Genomic DNA, 22,311 nt, shown 5'->3' on the forward strand with positions numbered 1-22,311 from the left:
GTCTCTACTAAAAATACAAAAAATTAGCCAGGCATGGTGTTGAGCACCTGTAATCCCAGCTATTTGGGAGGGTGAGGCAGGAGAATCGCTTGAACCTGGGATGCAGTGGTTGCAGTGAGCCAAGATCACACCACTGCACTCCAGCTTGGGAGACAGAGTGAGGCTCTGTCTCAAAAAAACAAAACAAAACCAAAAAAACCTGCTGTTTTCCAGAGTTCCTCAGGTTGGCTCCTTTCTTCTCCCACTCCCTTCAGCATGGTGTGTCATTCGTCTGTGATACCACTGGATTCATTTGCCACAGCATGCATTCCATCTTAGGCCTCCGACAACCTGGTTTATATATTTTTTTAATTTCCATAGAGTAAAATTCATTATTTGGCCTGTATCGTTCTATGGATTTTTGACAAATGCATTAAGTTGTATATCCACCATCATAGTAACATACAGGAGAGTTCCATCACCCCCAAAATTCCTTTATGTCCTTTGTAGTCAATTTCTCTCCTCACCCCCCAGCAACTGTCCTTATAGTTTTTGCATTTTTGATAATGTAATATAAATGGAATCATACAATATGTAGCCCTTTGGTTCTGGATTCATCTATGTTGTTGTATAGATCAATCGTTTATTCTTTTTTGTTGCTGAGCAGTATTTCATTGCATAGATATGGTTTATCCATTCACCAGTTGAAGGACATCTAGGCTGTTTCCAGTTTAGGTTGATTATGAGTTAAGCTAATATAAACATCCATGTATAGGTTTTGTGAAAACATAAGTTTCCAGTTCACATGGTATATACCTTGGAGTGGGGTTGCTGTGTTGTATGGTAGGCATACTGTTTTCCAAAATGACTGGACCATTTTGAATCCCCACCAACGAGGTATGAGGTATCATCCTTGGTATTTTCAGTTTGTTCTTCTTTCTTAAGCCATTGTAAAAGGTGTGTCATGATACCTCCTCATGATTTTAATGTGTATGTCCCTAATGACCAATGATGCTGAGCATCCATTTATATGCTTTTTTTTCCACCTGAATGTCTTCTTTGGTGAAGTGTCTCTTCAAATCTTTTGTCTGTCCTCTTGCTCATTAGTTTTTAAGCCTTGTCCCCATTTTATAGACATAAAACTCTCACACTCACCCTTTTCTGAAATTCCCTCCTTTAGGAGCTCCCCTAACTCTACTCCCTCCCACCTCCCACCATTACAGTCACAGGTTCTTCTGGATATCCTCACCAGTTAACATGGCCTGTTGAGTTTTACCTTTTGTAGTTTGTATTATGCAAGCTTTTTTCTAAGTATAAAATTATACCCTTTTAGATGCTGAGTTAAAAAAAATACAACAAATGAGGCTGGGCACGGTGGCTCATGCCTGTAATCCCAGCACACTTGGGAGGCCAAGGTGGGCAGATCACGAGGTCAAGAGATCGAGACCATTCTGGCCAACATGGTGAAACCCCATCTCTACTAAAAATATAAAAATTAACTGGGCGTGGTGGTGCGTGCCTGTAATCCTAGCTACTCGGCAGAAGACTCGCTTGAACCAGGGAGTCAGAGGTTGCAGTGAGCCCAGATCACGCCACTGCACTCCAGCCTGGCAACAGAGCAAGACTCTGTCTCAAAAAAAAGAAAGAGAGAAAAAGAAACAAATGAAAAAAATAAATAAAAATAAAAATAAAATTACACCTTTATATTGATCTACTTTGCCAAACCACCACTCCAAGACTCTGATATGACTCCCTAGGGAACATGGCTTCCATATCTAGCCTCCTAGTGACATGGTACATTAGTATTGCCAAGAGAGTTATAGAAACTGGACATTCTTGAGGCGGGGCATGGTGGCCCACGCCTGTAATCCCAGCACTTTGGGGGAGCGAGGCAGGCAGATCACGAGGTCAGGAGTTCAAGACCAGCCTGGCCAACATGGTGAAACTCCTTCTCTACTAAAAATACAAAAATTAGCTAGGTGTGGTGGCGGGCGTCTGTAATCCCAGTTACTCGGGAGGCTGAGGCAGGAGAATCACTTGAACCTGGGAGGCAGAGGTTGCAGTGAGCCGAGATCCCACCACTGTAGATCCCACCACTGTGCTCCAGCCTAGGCGACAGAGTGAGACTACATCCAGAAAAAAAAAAGAAACTGAACATTCTCTTTGGCAGAGTGAGGCATCCTAGAGGGGCTCAGTGTTGAGTCCTGGGAGCACTGCAGTGCAGATGTCATAGGCTGGGGAGAATTGAAGTGAAAGTGTCTCAGGTTTCAGGTTGATGTGGAGGTGGTGCTGTCTATGTGAGTATGTTGGGGATGGAGGAAATGATTCATTTCCACAGGACTCCTGACTCATGGAAGTATTTGGGCCAAACTCACTTTCTAGAGTTAAATTTCATGAATTAGAATTAAAATATAATAGCCACAAGGGCTGGGAAGGATGGAAACTTCGTATTTATTAATTCATGTAATCCTCACAGCAACTCTATGAGGTCATTCACCTGCATTTGATAGAGGAGTAAACGAAACCCCTGGGAGTTAGAGGGCTGATAAATTGCAGGGCCTGGACAACATTCCTACAGCTGACCCCAGAACTCTCATTCTTTCCACAGCATTATTTTACTACATCTTGGGTTTAATTCACATACTGTGTAATATTAGAAAAAAAATTTTAAGAAGGTGGGAGTTTGGAGATCAAAGAGCCCCTGAGAGGTGGGAGCTGGCTGTGGTTGGGACTCTAGCAAGCCAGAACTTATATCTGGCTCTCACTCTTTTGCTTTGTGAATTTGGAGAAATAATAATAATTTTTTTTTTTTTTGAGATAGGGTCTTGCTCGGTTGCCTAGGCTAGAGTGCAGTGGCATGATCACAGCTCACTGCAGCCTCTGACCTCCCAGGCTCAAGTGATCCTCCTACCTCCACCTCCCAACTAGCTTGGACTACAGGCACATACCATCATGCCCAGCTAATTTTTAAGTTTTTTGTAGAGACGGGGTCTCCCTATGTTGCCCAGGCTGGTCTTGAACTCCTGGGCTCAAGCAATCCTCCCACCTTGGTCTCCCAAAGTGCTGGGATCACAGATGTGAGCCACTGCACCCAGCCAGTTGAATATTCTTTTGCTTTAGTTTGCTTCTCTTTCGCAGTGGTCTCTGTACTGTTTTGATTGCACATGCCACCAGTAATAAAAAAGTTTGAGAACACTAGTTCATGAAATGTTTATCTCTTTATAAAGTTATGTACATATAAAGCCATTTTAACATATTATGTATGTTAAAAATATTTACAAAAATAGAACTTTCAAAAGGATAAGATAAAAATAAAATAGCCATAACTCTGCCCTCACTAATATTTTTAGTTGAGACCATGTGACTGAACTAGATTGTCCTTATTTTTACCTCATGTGACAAATAAAGGCGGTGTCTGCTGTGCCATATTCTTGTGGTTTTACTTATGCTGGCTAAGTAAGAACTTTGTTCTTAGCTTTACTCTCTGATTCCATTAGAAAAAAATATTTTCATGTCACTGACCTATTTTTTCAAGTTTAGCTTTATTAAAACTAAATTATGAAAGCTATAAATCTATGTAACCTGCCATACACAAATGCACTGTGTCCCAATACACTAAAAACAATCAAATTAGAGTGATGCTATTATTCCAGCCAAATCATGGGATGCCCTCAGGCTTCTTTCTCCATCATCCAGAACACTCAACCTTCTGACATGTGGGCTGAGAGAGGAGACCAGTGCCAATCCATTGATTAACTATTAGTAAAGCTTAACTTCTGTCGTATTTATTTCATTTATTTATTTATTTTTTTGAGACAGAGTTTTGCTTTTTGGCCCAGGCTGGAGTGCAATGGCATGATCTCGGCTCACTGCAACCCCTGCTTCCCGGGTTCAAGCAATTCTCCTGCCTCAGCCTCCCAAGTAGCTGAGATTACAGGTGCCTGCCACCACGCCCAGCTAATTTTTTGTATTTTTAGTAGACATGGGTTTCACCATGTTGCCCAGGCTGGTCTCGAACTCCCAACCTCAGGTGATCACCCACCTTGGCTTCCCAAAGTGCTCATGCACACAGGCATGAGCCACTGTGCCTGGCCAACTTCTGTCATATTTTAAATCAAAATAAATCTAAGTTTAAATGTTTTCTTACTGTGCTCCAAAAGATTGTCTTGCGTATCCACTAGGTACAGACACTTTATTTTAGAGACAGTTGACCCTTGAACAACATGGGTGTGAACTTTGTGAGTCTACTTATACCCAGATTTTCTTTCACCTCTGCCATCCCTGAGACAGCAAGACTAATCCCTCTTCTTCCTCCTCCTCTACCTCCTTAATGTGAAGACGATGAGGATGAAGACCTTTATGATGATCCACTACCACTTAATGAAGAGTAAATAGGCTGGGTATAGTGGCTCACGCCTGTAATCCCAGCACTTTGGGAGGCCAAGGCAAGTGGATTGCTTTGAACCCAGGAGTTCGAGACCAGCCTGGGCAACATGGAGAAACCCTGTCTCTACTAAAAAATACAAAAATTAGGCGTTGGTGGCTGTCGCCTGTAATCCCAGCTACATAGGAGGCTGAGGCACGAGAATAGCTTGAATCTGGGAGGGAAAGGTTGCAGTGAGCTGAGATTGCGCCACTGCACTCCAGCCTGGGTGACAGAAAAAGGCCCTGTCTCAAAAAAAAAAAGAAGAAGAAGAGTAAATATATTTTCTTTTCCTTATAATTTTCTTAAAAGCATTTTCTTTTCCCTAGCTTGCTTTGTTGTAAGAATACGGTACACAGGCTGGGCACGGTGGCTCACACCTATAATCCCAGCACTTTGGGAGGCCAAGGCAGGCGGATCACCTGAGGTCGGGAGTTCGAGACCAGCCTGACCAACATGGAGAAAGCCCATCTCTACTAAAAATACAAGATTAGCCGGGCTTGGTGGCACATGCCTGTAATCCCAGCTACTTGGGAGGCTGAGGTAGGAGAATCGCTTGAATCTGGGAAGCAGAGGTTGCGGTGACCCAAGATCACACCATTGCACTCCAGCCTGGGCAACAGAGCAAAACTCTGTCTCAAAAAAAAAAAAAAAAAACAGTATATAATACATATAACATATAAAATATGTGTTAATTGACTTTTTGTTACACATAAGGCTTCCAGGCAACAGTAGGCTGTTAGTAAGGTTTTGGGGGACTCAAAAGTTATTTTCAACTTCACATGGGGTTGGGGCCCCTAACCCCTGTGTTGTTCAAAGGTCAACTATGTAAGTTTCCCCCAAACAGGAGAAACGTAGGAGTTGACGGTATGAGTTCCATTGCACTTTGTTGAATTATTCAGTAAAAGGGCTAAAATGCCTTTAAGAAAAATATTTTTGCTACAAGAATTGAGAGAATCCAGAAGTGTGGTTGATGATAACCAAAGCAGGGATTCAAATTAAATGTGAGCTCCCTGAACTTCTGAAGACAGCCTGTTTTCTGCTGTAGCTTTGACAAGGTCAGTCCCAGGACAGATGGAGGAGGCAACTTTGTTGGAGCTATTACTGATCAAGTAACCCAGATGAGTCTCAGATCCACTCAGAACCTTCCTCTCTGGATTCTCTTTCATATCTCAGGACATCTAAACCATTTCTATCAATTTGCTCCAGAGCAAGCTGGAACCTGGACCCCAAGATGAAGAACAAGCCTGGGCTGACCCAGACAAGGTTATCCTAGACCACAGCTCACAGAGCAGCCCCTTGGAGAGCCTGAGCTGAATTCCAACCCCAGCCCGAGGGTTTTGGATGGAAGTGAGTCAACTTCTGGAATGCAGTGAATTCAACATTTAGCCCCAAGTTAGTCACCATCGCAAATAGCAGTGAGGGCTGTGGCTCTTGTTCCATCTCCTTTTCAGCTGCAACAAAGTGACTACTGGAAACAGAGGCCAGGGGAAAGAGCAGGCCAGCCTAAGTGAAACAGGGAGCCCTGGGCCCATGTACACCGCCAGCACCACTCTAGATCTGGGTTACTTTAATGCTACTGAAGCTGAAGGCTGTATGGCTTTAATGGGAGTCTCTTCAAGCTGTAGCTTTAAAAAAGCAGTTCTGAATTAGCCGGGCATGGTGGTGGGTGCCTGTAGTCCCAGCTACTCGGGAGGCTGAGGCAGGAGAATGGCGTGAACTTGGGAGGCAGAGGTTGCAGTGAGCCGAGATCGCGCCACTGCACTCCAGCCTGGGGGAGAGTGCGAGACTACATCTCAAAAAAAAAAAAAGAAAAAAAAGAAAAAAAAGAAAAAAAAAGCAGTCCTGAAGTAGAATTCAAAGCAACAAGAGATGAAAGGAGCTGCCATTTATTTATTTATTTATTTATTTATTTATTTATTTATTTTTGAGATAGTCTCCCTCTGTCACCCAGGCTGGAGTGTAGTAGAGTGATCTTGCTCACTGCAGCCTCTGCCTCCCTTGTTCAAGCTATTCTCCTGCCTCATCCTCCCGAGTGGCTGGAACTATAGGCATGTGCCACCACGCCCAGCTAAGTTTTGTATTTTTAGTAGACAGGATTTCACCAAGTTGGCCAGGCTGCTCTAGAACTTATGACCTCAGGTGATCCACCCGCCTCGGCCTCCCAAAGTGCTGGGATTACAAGCATGAGCCACCGTGCCTGGACAGGACCTGCCATTTAAAATGCTCCATGAAGTTTACAATTCAACAACAACAAAAAACATGATTGAAATGACCTGGAGAAAAAGAAGCCTCCAATTCTCTGGAGTGTAATTCACGTCAACTACAATTTCTGCAGCAAAGGCAAAAACAAACAAACAAAAAAAAAGTAAACAGTACTTACTTTTTGCAATAGGAAACTCTTGCACATGGTTTCACTGAAATTTAAAAGTTATAACAGAGCATATAGTAAAAATCTCCCTCCTTCCCCATCACCCAGTTCCCCGTTTCCTCTCCAATTCAGAGACAGGCTGGCACAGTTCATCTTTATTAGCCAACAAATATCTGAATTATGGGTGAGTTGGTTTGGCCCATGGTAAGGGCAGTGATCCAAGAACAAATCCCAGCAGAATGGAAAAGTTGTTAATGAAGCTTTTAAAAAACATTCTTCCATGTACACACAATGTAATATCGGTAGAATTATCTTCGGATATGAAGCACAAGCGAAGACCATAGAGGTTAGCAGTACCCAGGAGAAAAAATATTTTGGCAGACTGGGAACAGATCGAATAACTTACCTTTTTTTGATTTTCTGCAGGACGTTTGAGGCTCCTGGCAATGAGGATCTTCCTGTAAGTGTTTGAGTTAGGGTTTGGCATCTGGCTTGACCTGATTCGCACAGACACAGCTGGCCCTAATTATTATGAAATCACATGCGACAAGAAGGCCTTCTCTTGGCACTGGAACATTCCAAGCCATTAGGTGGATGTAAAATCTGGTCATTATCCATTAATTTTTCCTTTCCTCTGATATACTTCTAGACCTTCCAGTCACCAGACTCTGTGCCATGTTAAAGGAGCTCTTCACATCCCAACCATGTTCCTGGAACCCAAGAAACGATCAGTTATAATTTGGGCGACTGCCAGCTAATCTCCTTTCCCACAGGGTTGGGCAAGGGACAAGATAGCAGTTGTTCGTTTAGTACCTGGTATTTTACACTCTTTATTCCATTGAATAGTAGATCATATCTATGCCTGTTATATTTTCAATTAACTTAACAAATAGCAGGAAATGAAACTATTAAAATCTTATATCCTAGTCCCAGCCATTCCAGAGATTATCTTTAACTTTAAAAAAGGAGGAGGGAGGTAATATTTTACTAGGCAAAAATGTATAAATATACCTTTATAAATGAGTTCTTAAATTTTTTTGAGACGGAGTCTTGCTCTCTCATCCAGGCTGGAGTGCAATGGTGCGGTCTCAGCTCACTGCAATCTCCGTCTGCTGGGTTCAAACGATTCTCCTGCCTCAGCCTCCTGAGTAGGTGGGACTACAGGTGTGTGCCACCACACTCGGCTAATTTTTGTATTTTTAGTAGACACGGTGTTTCACTACGTTGGCCAGACTGGTCTCGAACTCCTGACCTCTTGTTCTGCCTGCCTCGGCCTCCCAAAGTGCTGGGATTACAGGCATTAACCACTGTGCCCAGCCTGAGTTTAAAATTTTTTAAGTGTCCCAGGTAGCTTCTAGCCTTGGTTTATGAAACCCTGTAATGTCTCCATTTTATAATTCTCTACACCACCTTCCCCCAAATAATCCACTGTGATTTAAATAATAAATGTGCCATGCTCTGTGGCTCATGCCTGTAATCCCAGCACTTTGGGAGGCCCAGGTGAATTGATCACTTGAGACTAGGAGTTCAAGGCCAGTCTGGCCAACATGGTAACACACCCTGCCCCGTCTCTACTAAAAATACAAAAATTGGCCAGGTGCCGTGGCACATGCCTGTAGTTCCAGCTACCCCGGAGGCTGAGGCAGGAGAATCGCTTGAACCTGGGAGGTGGAGGCTGCGGTGAGTTGAGATCATGCCACTGCACTCCAGCTTGCAGGACAAACTGAGACCCTGTCTCAAAACAACAACAACAGCAACAAAAACTAACTAGATTAAAAATAAAAATAAGAAAAAATAAAATAAATAATAAATGCGTGTAACATGCATGTGACTTAAGCTGTCTGGGTATCATGACAACAAACAAATGGCAATGGAGAGTGGTAACTCAGTGTTTCTTTAAATCAATTCACTGGCTGTCAGAACTTAAAAGACTTCCTGGTTAGTATTTTCCCAAGTTCACTTATTTGCATACCATCTTCATAACTTTTTTAATGGAATTTTTTTAAAGTATCAATTTCATATAATTAATGATGAAATAGTTTTACAATATTTGTTACAAAAAAAGAAAGCCTGTCCTCCATTCCTTGAAGTTACGGCTTTCAATGCTGCTACATTATTATTTTCTTTTCTTGCTCCTTGTTTTTTTTTTTTTTTTTTTCCTGAGACAGAGTCTTGCCCTATTGCCCAGGCTGGAGTGCAGTGGCAGGATCCCGGCTCACTGCAACCGCTGCCTCCCAGGTTCAAGCGATTTTCCTACCTCAGCCTCCCGAGTAGCTGGAATTATAGATGTGCACCACCATGCCCAGTTAATTTTTGTATTTTTAGTAGATACCAGTTTTACCATATTGGCAGGCTGGTCTCGAACTCCTGACCTCAGGTCATCCGTCTGCCCTGCTTCCGAAAGTACTGGGATTACAGGCGTGAGCCACCATGCCTGGCCACTAAATTATTATCTTCATATTTACCTCCAATTCTTCCCTTTAAACAGAAGTCTTGATATTTGTACTTGATTTTTCAAGTTTTAGCATTATCTATTGACTTCCTGCTGTGGAAGATTCAGATTAAGCTTTATTTCAATATTTCTGACCTAAATCCCTTTTCCCCCTCTATTATTTCCTATCCTTCCCCATTCTTCCAATATAGATATTTTGGTAAAATCAGTCTTTTGTTAGTATTCTGTACTTTAAAGATACTATTGACAGCTGAACAGCATAGTGAACTGATTTCTTTTTCTACACAGCTATTTATTTTTCTTGGAAAACCCTTTATAGAATAAATAATAATATAAATAATAGTTTGTTTAAGCTTATTTATTTATTTATTTATTTATTTTTATTTTTTATTTTTTTGAGACGGAGTTTCGCTCTTGTTGCCCAGGCTGGAGTGCAATGGCGCAATCTTGGCTCACCGCAACTTCCACCTCTTGAGTTCAAGTGATTCTCCTGCCTCAGTCTCCCAAGTAGTTGGGATTACAGGCATGCGCCACCATGCCCGGCTAATTTTGTATTTTTAGTAGAGATGTGGTTTCTCCATGTTAGTCAGGCTGGTCTCGAACTCTCAACCTCAGGTGATCCTCTCGCCTCGGTCTCCCAAAATGCTGGGATTACAGGCTTGAGCCACCACTCTCAGCCTTCGTTTAAGATTTTTAAGTACACTTATCACTAATGTATGTACAAACTTTCCCCTAGTTGCATAAATCTCTCAATCTTCATGCCATTGGTAGCCTTATAGTTTGATCTTTTAGAAGAATTCTCTTCTGGGATCTTCTGAGGAGAGGCAGGTTTCTGGCTGTGTGGAATGACAGAGGATGTCCCACTGCTTCTTACGATGACTTTCAACTGGAATTGTTTTCGACTTTACCTCCTCCGCATCTGATTCCACAGACAATGGGTGCAACAAATTCCTGGGCCTTCCAGAGGTTCTGGATGCAAATTAAGTTGCTTCTCAGCTTCCCCCACTGCTGGCTGATGGTTGAGATTTCCTGCATCTTCCAGGTAAGTTATCCCATGTCCGTTCAATGTTTCTAAAATTGTTGCCATGGTATTTCTCATTTTATTTGTACTATTATGTGAAAATTATGTACTGTTGTGTATGCTTTTAAAAACATCCTTCTGAACCCACATTTTAGTGGTTTTAAACTGAAAATCCTTTCAGTTTTTTTCCTCCTATCCTATTATTTTCTGGCCTTTACCTAATACAGGTTGAATATCCCTTATATAAAATGCTTGGGGCCAGGCATGGTGGCTCACACCTGTAATCCCAGCACTTTGGGAGGCTGAGGCAGGTGGATCACCTGAGGTCAGGAGTTCGAGACCAGCCTGACTAACATGGTGAAACCCCATCTCTACTAAAAACACAAAATTAACCAGATGTAGTGGCGCATGCCTGTAGTCCCAGCTACTAGGGAGGCTGAGGCAGAAGAATTGCTTGAACCCGGGAGGCAGAGGTTGCAGTGAGCTGAGATCACGCCATTGCGCTCCAGCCTGGGCAACAAGAGCAAAACTCAGTCCCCAAAAAATTTTTTTTTATTAAAAAATAAAATGCTTGGGATCAAAAGTGTTTTAGATTTTGGAGTTTTTCGAATTTTGGAATATTTACTTATATACTCACCAATTAAGTATCCCTAATTTAAAAATCTGAAATGTGAAATGCTCCAGTGAGCCTTTCCTTTGAATATCATGTCAGTCCTAAAAAGTTTTGGATTTTGAGCTGGACACGGTGATGCATCCAGCTACTTTGGAGGCAGAGGTGGGAGGATTGCTTGAGGCCAGGAGTTCCAGATCAGCCTGGGCAACATAGCAAGACTCCATCTAAAAAAAAAGGTTTTGGATTTTCCAGCATTTCAGATTCTGGATTTGGGACTAGGGATATTCAAACTGTAGTAGTCTTTATATTGACTTGATTTTTATATTTTAAACTCATCCTAATCAATAACATTAATAAAATTATGGGTGGAATATAGTTAGATTTTCTTATATAGTTATATTTTCTAAAATACATTAATATATATTAAAAAGAAAAAAATATTGATGTACCACCAGTGGCATGCACTCTACTTAGGGAAACACTGCCTTGGCCCACTGCAGACATTAAGGTCCAGGGAGGTTAAATGGTCTTGCTTGAGGTCTGGCAAATGGCAGAACTGGGACATTCCTTGGATCTCCTGAATTCCCTACTTGTTTTTACCACAAAGTCAGCCAGCTTTGCGCAAAGCTGGCTTTTCTTACTGCAAAGCAGCCAGTTTTTACCGCAAGCCAGGCCTGGGCCTCTATGTAGAGGTACTCATTAACTATATGCCTTACTTCTCTAAGCTATTCACTACCACTTGGCATGTTATACCACCATGAAATTATTTACCCCCTAAGTTACAGAGCTTGTTTGAAGCTAACAATTCCAAATATGCCCCACTTTTAGCCCTGAATAGAGAGATGCATTGATGGAAAAATAAATGAGGTCAGTATTCTTTTCTACTCATCTGACAAGAATGGCACTTTATTAAGGAAGCAAATTTTCCAATGTGGTTTCCAAAAATCTTACTCATTCCAAAATGAATAAGGAGGTGCTCCATTCTTTTCTTTGCTATATCAACATATAGGACCTCCACGTCACAGACCTTAGATATTTCCCCAAATAGAAAATAGTACAGTTTGTAAGTGGCAGAATCAGTCTGTAAACACAATTTGTTCCAAACCCATCATTTAAATAGAAATGGCCCAAAGCCAGCATTGCTTCAAGCATAGGAATTCTCATATCATTTGTCCTCACCAACAAATTCCACAGTACCAAATTTAGCTTGGTGAGACAAGCATGATGCTGAAAATACATCCTCTGCTGTTATTTGGCAACATTTAATAAAAGAAGAGCAGATGTTGAACTATAGGGACAGGTTAAATTTTGAAATTACAGTGCCATTATAACTAATTAAAGCCAGAATAAAAGACACAAATTTGAGAAAGATAAAATTATTGAAATAAGACTTTGGAGTTTGTTTTAACAGGATTTGATCTGTGTAACATATTTTGTAATGTCTATTTGTATTTGTACATAATTGCACTTTAATTTATAACAGTTTAACTTCAAATATTTTTCTACTTTAAGTACAGTGCAGTATTTAAATAGAAGTATACTTCTATTTCTTCCTTCTTGTCTTTATGCTATTGTGATACATTTTGCTTCAATATATGTTATGAATCCTGCAATATACTGTGATTATTTTCACTTTAATTAGTTGATGATGTCTTAAAGAAGTCATTTATATATTTATCATTTCTGGCACTCTTCAGTCATTTGTATAGATCCTTTTCTTGTGCTGTATCCTGCCTGAAAACTTCTGTTTTCTTTCTTGTTGTGCAGATGGCTAGTGATGAGTTCTTTCAGCTTTTGTTTGAAAAGTTTTAATTTAACTTTTATTATTATTATTATTATTATTATTATTATTATTTTCAGATGGACTCTTGCTCTGTGGCCCAGGCTAGAGTGCGGTGGCATGATCTCGGTTCACTGCAATCTCTGCCTCCCAGGTTCAAGGGATTCTCCTGCCTCAGCATCCCAAGTAACTGGGATTACAGGCACCCACCACTGCGTCCAGCTAATTTTTGTATTTTTAGTAGAGACAGGGTTTCACCATCTTGGCCAGGTTTGTCTTGAACTTCTGACCTTATGATTCACTCACCTCAACCTCCCAAAGTGCTGGGATTACAGGCATGAGCCACTGCGCCTAGCAGTTCACTTTTATTTTTGAAACATTTTTTGCTGGGTATAAAATCCTAGATTTACAGCTTCTGTTTCATTACTTTAAAGATATTGTCTCATTGTCTTCTGGGTTATGTAGTTGCTGTCAAGAAATCTGCTGCCATTGGTTTTGGCTGTTGTTCTTATGTAAATAAGATGTCCCCTTTTCACTGGCTGTTTTAAAAAATTTTTTTGACACTGGTTTTCAACAATTGGGCTATGGTGTGCCTTGGCATGATTTTCTTAATGTTTATTCTGCTTGGCATTTGTTGAGCCCCTTGAATCTTCAATTTATAGTTTTCTTCAAAATTGGAACACTTTTATTTATTATTTTTTCAAATATTTTATCTCCCCCCTCACATCATTTTCTTGGCACTTTAATTATACACATGTGTTCATCTAGGTTATATATGTAAAGTCCACAAGTCACTAATGCTCTATTCATTTTTTTTAGTCTTTTTTCTGTGCTTCATTATTTCTTCAACTTCACTTACCTTTTCTTCTGCAATATCTGATTAACTATTAATCCCATGCAGTATTTTTCAATTAAGATACTGCATTTTTCATCTTTATGTGTTTTATCTGAGTCTTTTAAAAGTATCATCAATTTGGCTGGGCATGGTGGCTCACACCTGTAATCCCAGCACTTTGGGAGGCCAAGGCAGGCGGATCACCTGAGGTCGGGAGTTCAAGACCAGCCTGACAAACAGGGAGAAACCCTGTCTCTACTAAAAATACAAAATTAGCTGGGCCTGGGGTGGCACATGCCTGTAATCCCAGCTACTAGGGAGGCTGAGGCAGAAGAATCGCTTGAACCTGGGAGGCGGAGGTTGCGGTGAGCCAAGATCATGCCATTGCACTCCAGCCTGGGCAACAAGAGCGAAACTCCGTCTCAAAAAAAAAAAGTATCATTAATTTATCTTTTCACCATGTTCATGTTTTTATTTACTTTCTTATAGATAGGAGTGTATTTAAAATAGATATTTTCATGTTCTTGTCTGCTAATTCATTATTTCCATAATTTCTGGGACTGTTTCTATTGATTACTTTTTCTTTTGGTTATAAGCAATGTTTTCCTGTTTTTTTGTATGCCTGGTAATTTTTGACAGGATACCTGGCATTGTGATTCTACATTGTTGGTTGCTGGATTTTGTTATTTTCTTTTAAATAGTGTTGAGCTTTATGCTGGTACAAAATTAAGTTACTTGGAATCTATTGGATCCTTTCCTTTTCAAGCATTTTAATGGTGAGTTCAGAGTGGCTTTTAGTCTAGGGCTTATTTAGTCCCACTAGTAAGGTGGGACTACATAAGAAGAGTCCCCCTCTGAGGACTCTAGGAGGTCTTTCTACTCTGACTGGTGGGAACACAAACTATTCCTAGCCCTGTGTAAGCCCCAGGAATTGTTCAGCTTGCTGCTTTTGGGTGATGGTTTCCCCTTAGATAGTTTCCTCTTGTGTATACATGAATCAGCCATCAGCCAAAGCTTCAAAGTGGCTCCTTTATAGATCTCTGGAGTGCTCTCTTTTTCTCCCTGTCTTCCCCTGCATCTCCCTCCTTTCTAGTGCATAGACCCATACGTTCTAGTGACTTTGACCTCCCTTGGCCTGGATCTCTTGCTCCTCATCTCAATGAGACTGCTGTGCTATTTCTTCCTCCCTATACTGCAATCTGGAAATTGCCTCCAGGTAGCAAGCTGGGGCAATCATAGGGTTCACCTCTTTATTTTCCCTTCCTCTTGGATCATATTTCTGTGCTGCCTGTTGTCTAACATCTGAAAACTACTGTTTCATATATTTTGTCTAGTTTTTTAGTATTTTAAGACAGGAGGGTAAATCCATCCCCCATTACTCTATCATGGCCAGAAGCAGAAGTCTTCCGATCCCCTATAATGAATGTTTGTGGCTGGAAAAATGTTTGTTTATTTTCTATAACTTTCCCTAGTGATTCTACAGTTCCTTACCAAGTTTGATGGTAAAATAAAAATTAATCATGCTAGAGGCCGAGCATGGTGGCTCACACCTGTAATCCCAGCACTTTGGAAGTCCAAGGTGGGCAGATCACCTGAGGTCGGGAGTTCAAGACCAGCCTGGCCAACATGGAGAAACCCATCTCTACTAAAAATACAAAACTAGCCAGGTGTGGTGGTACATGCCTGTATTCCCAGCTAATTGGGAGGCTGAGGCAGGAGAATGGCTTGAACCCAAGGGTGGAGGTTGAGGTGAGCTGAGATTGCACCATTGCACTCCAGCCTGGGCAACAAGAGCAAGACTCCATCTCAAAAAAAAAAAAAAAATTAATCATGCTGGAACTTCACTTTGGTCACATTAGCAGCAGGCTTCTTTTCCTATTTTGTTTCCTGGCACCTGCTGGATCTCTAAAGCAAGAGAGAGTCAAACCCTTGGTTTCCCAAGTTTGGGTCTACCTGATTCATTCACATATACTTTATGTGATGATCAGTGTTTTCATGTTTAGATTCCCATAACTCGTGATTATCTGATACTGACTATAGTTGTTGAAAATTATATATAAAAAAGAGCCCTAATAAAAGTCGTAAGAAGGCAAGCATTCTCTTGAGTGCTCACCTTTTTTATTTCTACTTCACATACTGGAGCCCTCTCCTTGACTTCAGGCCTTCAGTAACATTCAGGCAGTTCCCCGACTCTCCAAAATCCCTTCTGGAAGCTTCGCACATAGACACATCCTATTTCAAAATTATGCTCTTTTTCTTTTTACAAGATAGTCAAACTCCAATGACCTGAAAGGCTTAACCCGTTCACCATAAGAAGCTTGAAGGTAGGAACTAAATCTTCTTTTTGGTGTTTCATCAGATTCTAGAATGTCATCTGACACTGGACTTCATAATTGTTCACTTTCTGAGTATACCTTGAGTGATTGAGGGCAGGAAATTTGGAGCTACTGTCACAGTGCTTTCTACCACCTCCTCTGGCTTTTAGGGTGTCCAAGATAAAATAAGAAGGGACCCTGTTTTCTCATAGTTGCATTTTTCTAGTGGAGGCTCTACCTCTTATCTGGTCTTTAAAAGAGAAGAAAAGACTAACCTCTTGGGAAGGTTGATTTTGGCTTCTGCCCAATAACCCAAATCCATGAACACTCTCCCACCTTCTGAAGTTGTATCTCTAATTTTTTCATAGACATTTTAATAGGGTTTTCACTTCCCTACCATTAGTTTATATTTAATATCAAGTTAATGAACTACATTTGTAGGATCTTTATCCCAAGTCTGTATTCCTCAATTTTTTACAGACTTTATGCTTTCGGGTAATCATTTCAAGTTTCATCATTTTTCAATATATCCCACAAGCAATTTGTGACTTGGCTCTATCAGCTTGAAGTAATTAGAAATTCACTTGCACTATTGAGGACTTGCATCTGTAAAAGGAAGAAATATTTTCTGGAAAAATGGATTTGCAAAATGAAGGCACTTTGGCTTGGTGAGTCTGGACCTCACACAGGTTGAGACAGTCACAACTTGAGACCGTGAGATAGGTGAAAGGCCCTTGAACCAGAACACTAGAATCAAATGAGTCTTTTCTCTCATGTTGCCCTGTGGTAGACAGAATGTGGGGTTGATGACCAGGCCAAGCTAAGGAAAACTCAGGTGGATGGGCATGAGCAGGCTTGTTTTCAGATTTGAATAGCATTTCAATACCTTCAAAACCATTTTCACTTGTTCATCACCCTGCTTTTCACCACCAATGAAATGTGGCTATTCCATTCACCTCTGGACACTTTAGGTTCCTCTTTGTTTTCCTCCTTGTACCCCTCTCTCTCTTTTTTTTTTTTTTTTTTTTTTGAGACGGAGTCTTGCTCTGTCGCCCAGGCTGGCGTGCAGTGGCGCGATCTCGGCTGACTGTAAGCTCCGCCTCCCGGGTTCACGCCATTCTCCTGCCTCAACCTCCCGAGTAGCTGGGACTACAGGCACCCGCCACCGTGCCCGGCTAATTTTTTGTATTTTTAGTGAGTCGGGGTTTCACCGTGTTAGCCAGGATGGTCTCAATCTCCTGACCTCGTGATCCGCCCGCCTCGGCCTCCCAAAGTGCTGGGATTACAGGCGTGAGCCACCGGGCCCGGCTTTTTTTTTTTTTTTTTTTAAAGACAGAGTCTCCCTCTGTCGCCCAGGCTGGAGTGCAGTGGCAGGATCTCGGCTCACTGCAACTTCTGCCTCCCAGGTTCAAGCGATTTTCCTGCCTCAGCCTCCCGAGCAGCTGGGATTACAGGTGCACACCATTGCAAGCTAATTTTTGTATTTTTAGTAGAGATGAGGTTTTCCTGTGTTGGCCAAGCTGGTCCTGAACTTCTGAACTCAAGTGATCCTCCCACCTCGACCTCCCGCAGTGTTGGGATTACAGGGTGAGCCACCGCGCCCAGCCAAAAGCTAAGTTTACATATTGTACAAGTCATAGTAAGAATAGCCAGGTGTGGTGGCTCACGCCTGTAATCCCAGCACTTTGGGAGGCCGAGGCGAGTAGATCACAAGGTCAGGAGTTCGAGACCAGCCTGGCCAACATGGTGAAACCCCATTTCTACTAAAATACAAAAAAATTAGCTGGGTGTGGTGGCACATGCCTGTAATTACAGCTACTCGAGAGGCTGAGGCAGGAGAATCCCTGGAACCTGGGAGGTGGAGGTTACAGTGAGCTGAGATTGTGCCATCGCACTCCAGCCTGGGCGACAGGGTGAGACTCCGTTTCAAAGAAAAAAAAAAAGAATAAACATGGACATCTCTACCAGATTGTCAGTAGATGGTTTTTGTCTGCTCACAATCTCCTTAGGGAATAACAAACACTTCTCCCTTTCCTACACCATATGGTTCAGGCATGATTCAACACGTGCTTTGACTTAAAAACTGGACACACAGTTTAGGTTGGGCAATCAGAGAGATTGTTTCAAGGATGGGCAGAGCTCTCCCCAGGATTTTTCTGGAATGATTAAAAAACAGCCTCTATGTTTTGTTTGCCAGCTGTAAAGATAATGTAACACTGGAATCTTGGTGGCCATATTTGCTACTGAGTTAGAAGGGAAAGAATGAAGGCAACACAGGAAATGTGGAAACACAATGAAACCGCCATTGCAAAATTATAACTGAGAAAATTATTACAGTGAAAGAGATCTGACCTAACCAACCCCATCTTGCTTCTGACCTCCAAGCTGTCCTCCTTCATTCCTGGGCACAGGCCGATCTAACTTTGGGAGGAACTTAGTTTATAGTTTAACTTTGAAACAGAAATGATAACAGCCCTTTCCTGAAACGAATCCCCCTCCTGTATGGGGACAAGACTACCCTTGTAGGACTAACAAATTAGCTACAAGATTAGAAATTACGGTTTGGGAGTCATGGAGCTGGAGGCTACAAAATTCTGACCCTCCCCAAATTGCTCCTGGGGATAACGTCACCATTGTAAAGCCCTGCACTCGCTGCACCAGCTGGCACCACCCAGATTGATAAACTGGCTCATCTAGTCTTGTGGCCCCCACCCGGGAACTGACTCAGCACAAGAAGGCAGCTTTTACTCCCTATGGTTTCATCTCTGACCTGCCCAATCAGCACTCCCAACTCACTGGCCCCCTACCCACCAAATTACCCTTAAAAACTCTGATCCCCTAATGCTCGGGGAGACTGATTTGAGTAATAATAAAACTTCCATCTCCTGTACAGCCAGCTCTGCATGAATTAAAAACTTTCTCTGTTGCAGTTCTGTCTTGATAAATCAGTTGTCTAGGCAGTGGGCAAGGAGGACCCATTGGATGGTTACAAATTTAAGGTAAACTATTATGTAGGAAAATACTGTGTTTTTGATATGTTCTCACACCACAACAACCATCTGAAACCGCCTTTGCAAAATTATGACTGAGACAGTGAAAGAGATCTAACTTAACTGACTCCATCTTTCTGCTAACCTCCAAGCTGTCCTTGTTCATTCCTGGGCATAGGCTGAACTAACTTTGGGAGAATCTTAGTTTACAGTTTAAACAAAGATGGTAACAGCCCTTTCCCAAAGCAGACCTCCTTCTTGCCTGGGGACTAGATTGCCTTTGTAGGACTAACATTAGCCATAAGATTAGAAATTATGGCTTAGGAGTCATGCAGCTGGAGGCCACAAGATTCTGACCCTCCCTAAACTCCTCCTAAGATCAGTGCTTGAGGTATTTTGCAGACCCTGCACTTGATGGATCAGCTGGCCCCACCCAGATCAATAAACTGGCTCATCTGATCTTTTGGCTCCCACTCAGGAACTGACTCAGCGCAAGAAGACAGCTTCGACTCCCTATGATTTTATCTCTGACCAATCGGCACTCCTGGCTCACTGGCTTCCCCCACCCACCAAGTTATCCTTAAAAATTCTGCTCCCCCAGTGCTCAGGGACACTGATTTAAGTAATAATAAAACCCCGGTCTCCCGCACAGCCGGCTTTGCGTGAATTTCTCTTTCTCTATTGCAACTCCCCTATACTGATCTGGGCAGTGGGATAGGTGAACCCCTTGGGCGATTACACATCAACACAGAAAAGGATTTCTGTGACTAAATATTGTTTTTTTTTGTCTCCACACACCAAGTAGCAGACACCAGCTAGGTGTTCTCCAACTGAATTCCAACACTATCGACCTGGAGATAATATCACATCCCACAAATTGGGGGCCTAGTCCCCAAGACTGCTCCCTATACCCCCAGGCACCAGTTGCAAGTCTGGGCCTCAGGAACTCCTGACAACTAGTTTCAAATTGGGGTTCCCACGACTCCCTCTTTGCCTTCTAATAATTTGCTGGACTGGCTCACAGAACTCAGGGAAACACTTTTGGTTACTAGTTTCTTTTTTTTTTTGAGACGGAGTTTCGCTCTTGTTGCCCAGGCTGGAGTGCAATGGCATGATCTCGGCTCACCTCAGCCTCCGCCTCAGCCTCCCGAGTAGTTGGGATTACAGGCATGTGCCACCATGCCCAGCTAATTTTGTATTTTTAGTAGAGACAGAGTTTCTCCATGTTTGTCAAGCTGGTCTCAAACTCCCAACCTCAGGTGATTCACCTGCCTCGGCCTCCCAAAGTGCTAGGATTACAGGTGTGAGCCACCATGCCCGGCTGGTTACTGGTTTCTTATAAAGGATATTACAAAGGATACAGATAGGGTGAGGTATGCGGAAAGGGGCATGGAGATTCCATGCCCTTCCTGGGTGCACCACCCTCCAGGAACCTCACATGTTCAGCTATCCAGAAGCTCCCTGAACCCAGTCCTCTTGTTTGGTTGGTGTTTTGTTGTTTTGAGACAGGGTCTTGCTCTGTGGTCACCCAGGCTAGAGTGCAGAGGTGCAATCACGGCTTGCTGCAGGCTTATCTCCTGGATTCAAGAGATCCTCCCTCCTCACTCTCCAAAAGTGCTGGGATTATAGGCATGAACCACTGTGCCCAGCCCGTCTTGAGTTTTTGTGGAAGCTGAGTGATGTCAACATTCTTCCTGCAATGTTTTGTCTGGGAAGGGTCCTAAGCCCCACCATCAGAAAGGTGGGGAAAGATTAGTCTTGCTTTGGGGTAGGTGAAATGAGGACAGGAGAAAGTTGAGATTTCCTGGGGCCTGCCCCTGAGGCCTAATACATTCAAGATTATAACAAAAGACTGTAAAGGGGACTATGGAAGCAATGAACCAGGAACTGTGGAGGAAAACAAATATATATCATAACACCACAACTATTATAATAACATGATTTGGGCTCCTGGATCCAGCTCCCAAAATTCATCCTTAGATTTCCCAAGAGCCTATAATTACCCGTTTTTGCTTAAATACGTTTGAATTGGGTTTCCGTTGTCAGTGGATTTAGGTAGACCTTTAACATGAAACACCAAGCTGTGGGCAAGGTATGAGGAATCTGGTGAGGCGCATGTCCGGACTATCGGAGATTTACAGTGGAGCACCATCTCCCCAAACATTGCTACTACCTCCGTCTGAGAAGAGGCAGGCAGTGAGAACAAGCCGAGCTGAGCCTCTGGCGGTGAGGACCTGGCTAAATCCAAGCCAGGAGCACTGTGGGCCAAGGCTGGACAGCCCTCACCTATGGACTCTTGTCACTTCCAGGTACTGCCAAATGCACCTCAGTGGGGGTGAGGAAGTGGGCGGAGGCACTTCATGCTGACCCGAAAACAGACCCAAATCGCCCTTTCTGTGCCTGGGGGGCATGAACCTCCACGGCCCCAAACTGCAGTTGCAGAGGCAGAGTGGCAGGTCGACATTTCTGTTCTGTTCCTCAAATCCTTGGGGACTCGAGGTGTCCCCAAGGTGTTTCTGTTCCTCAAGTTCTTGGGGAACTTTCACTGTGTTCTTCCAGCTTATCGATTCTGCCTTGAGCAGCAGCAGGCAGGTGTGCAGGGGGTGGTTGGGAGGGGAGCCCCCCGCCAGCATCGAAGTGCTGATAGATTAGTCAGGAAAAAGAGTTGCTGCCTTCATCTCCCCTTGTGGGCTTTGGCCTCTTTCTCCCAATTGTCCTTTGGCAGAGGTGCAGAACGCTGATGAGATACCCCTTGGACTCCTTCCAGAAGAGTCTCCCATTGAGGCAATTAGGTGAGAGCTGACGACAATTTAGCGAGCACGCAGCGATGCCAAGGGTCTCCCGGATCAAGAGGCAAGTCTCAGCTCTGCTACTGATGTGCTTCTGAGGGGGTGGTCTCAACGAAACTAAAACAAGAAATCACCCTTCCTTTTGTAATACACTCCAGGATGTCTAAAAGAGTGCGGTGTTTTAGTGATGTGTCAGCGCACAATGAGGAAAATGTACTTTGCAGCATCCACTCCATTTCCTGGTTCCTACGACGGGTTTGGCAGGAACCACATCATGGACAAACAAATCATGGTAAAATATGTTTTTAAAGTAAAACAGGCTGGGAGCGGTGGCTCACGCCTGTAATTCCAGCACTTTGGGAGACCGAGGTGGGCGCATCATCCGAGGTCAGGAGTTCGAGACCAGCCTGACCAACACGGTGAAACCCCTGTCTCTACTAAAAATACAAAAATTAGCCGGGTATGGTGGTGCATGCCTGTAATCCCAGCTACTCGGAAGGCTGAGACAGGAGAATCGCTTGAACCTGGGAGGCAGAGGTTGCAGTGAGCCAAGATTGCACCATTGCACTCCAGCCTGGGCAACAGAGCAAAACTCCGTCTCAAAAAAAAAAAAATAGTAAAACAAAAAAAATTAATATTATGAGAGAACAATGACAGTGAGCTTTTTCATGGGTGACCACTATGTGGCTGGTGCTTTCATTGATGACTCCTCCTTTCTGCAAAGTAGATATTATTCCCATTTT

The 22,311-nt window shown here is 42.8% G+C and overlaps 1 long non-coding RNA gene across 1 annotated transcript in view, besides 2 other annotated features; it reads right to left on the reverse strand.

The window, feature by feature from the left end:
- Nucleotides 1-15,662, reverse strand: part of LOC105370185 (uncharacterized) — a 39,691-nt gene extending 24,029 nt beyond the window's left edge. The window contains exons 1-2 of the long non-coding RNA XR_941929.4: nucleotides 15,588-15,662; nucleotides 7,180-7,483 (exon numbers count right to left, since the gene is read on the reverse strand). This is a non-coding gene — a long non-coding RNA (uncharacterized LOC105370185). The remainder of the gene's footprint in view (nucleotides 1-7,179; nucleotides 7,484-15,587) is intronic.
- Nucleotides 5,432-5,957: an enhancer, noted in NCBI's record as "H3K27ac-H3K4me1 hESC enhancer chr13:45288083-45288608 (GRCh37/hg19 assembly coordinates)". NCBI's record gives its function as "activates a minimal SCP1, AML or CMV promoter by ChIP-STARR-seq in naive and primed H9 embryonic stem cells {active_cell/tissue: H9 hESC(naive and primed)}" and the evidence as "EXISTENCE:reporter gene assay evidence [ECO:0000049][PMID:30033119]".
- Nucleotides 5,958-6,483: an enhancer, noted in NCBI's record as "H3K27ac-H3K4me1 hESC enhancer chr13:45288609-45289134 (GRCh37/hg19 assembly coordinates)". NCBI's record gives its function as "activates a minimal SCP1, AML or CMV promoter by ChIP-STARR-seq in primed H9 embryonic stem cells {active_cell/tissue: H9 hESC(primed)}" and the evidence as "EXISTENCE:reporter gene assay evidence [ECO:0000049][PMID:30033119]".
- Nucleotides 15,663-22,311: the final 6,649 nt, after the last annotated feature.

The sequence above is a fragment of the Homo sapiens genome, chromosome 13 (assembly GCF_000001405.40).
Source record: "Homo sapiens chromosome 13, GRCh38.p14 Primary Assembly".
NCBI lineage: Eukaryota > Metazoa > Chordata > Mammalia > Primates > Hominidae > Homo > Homo sapiens.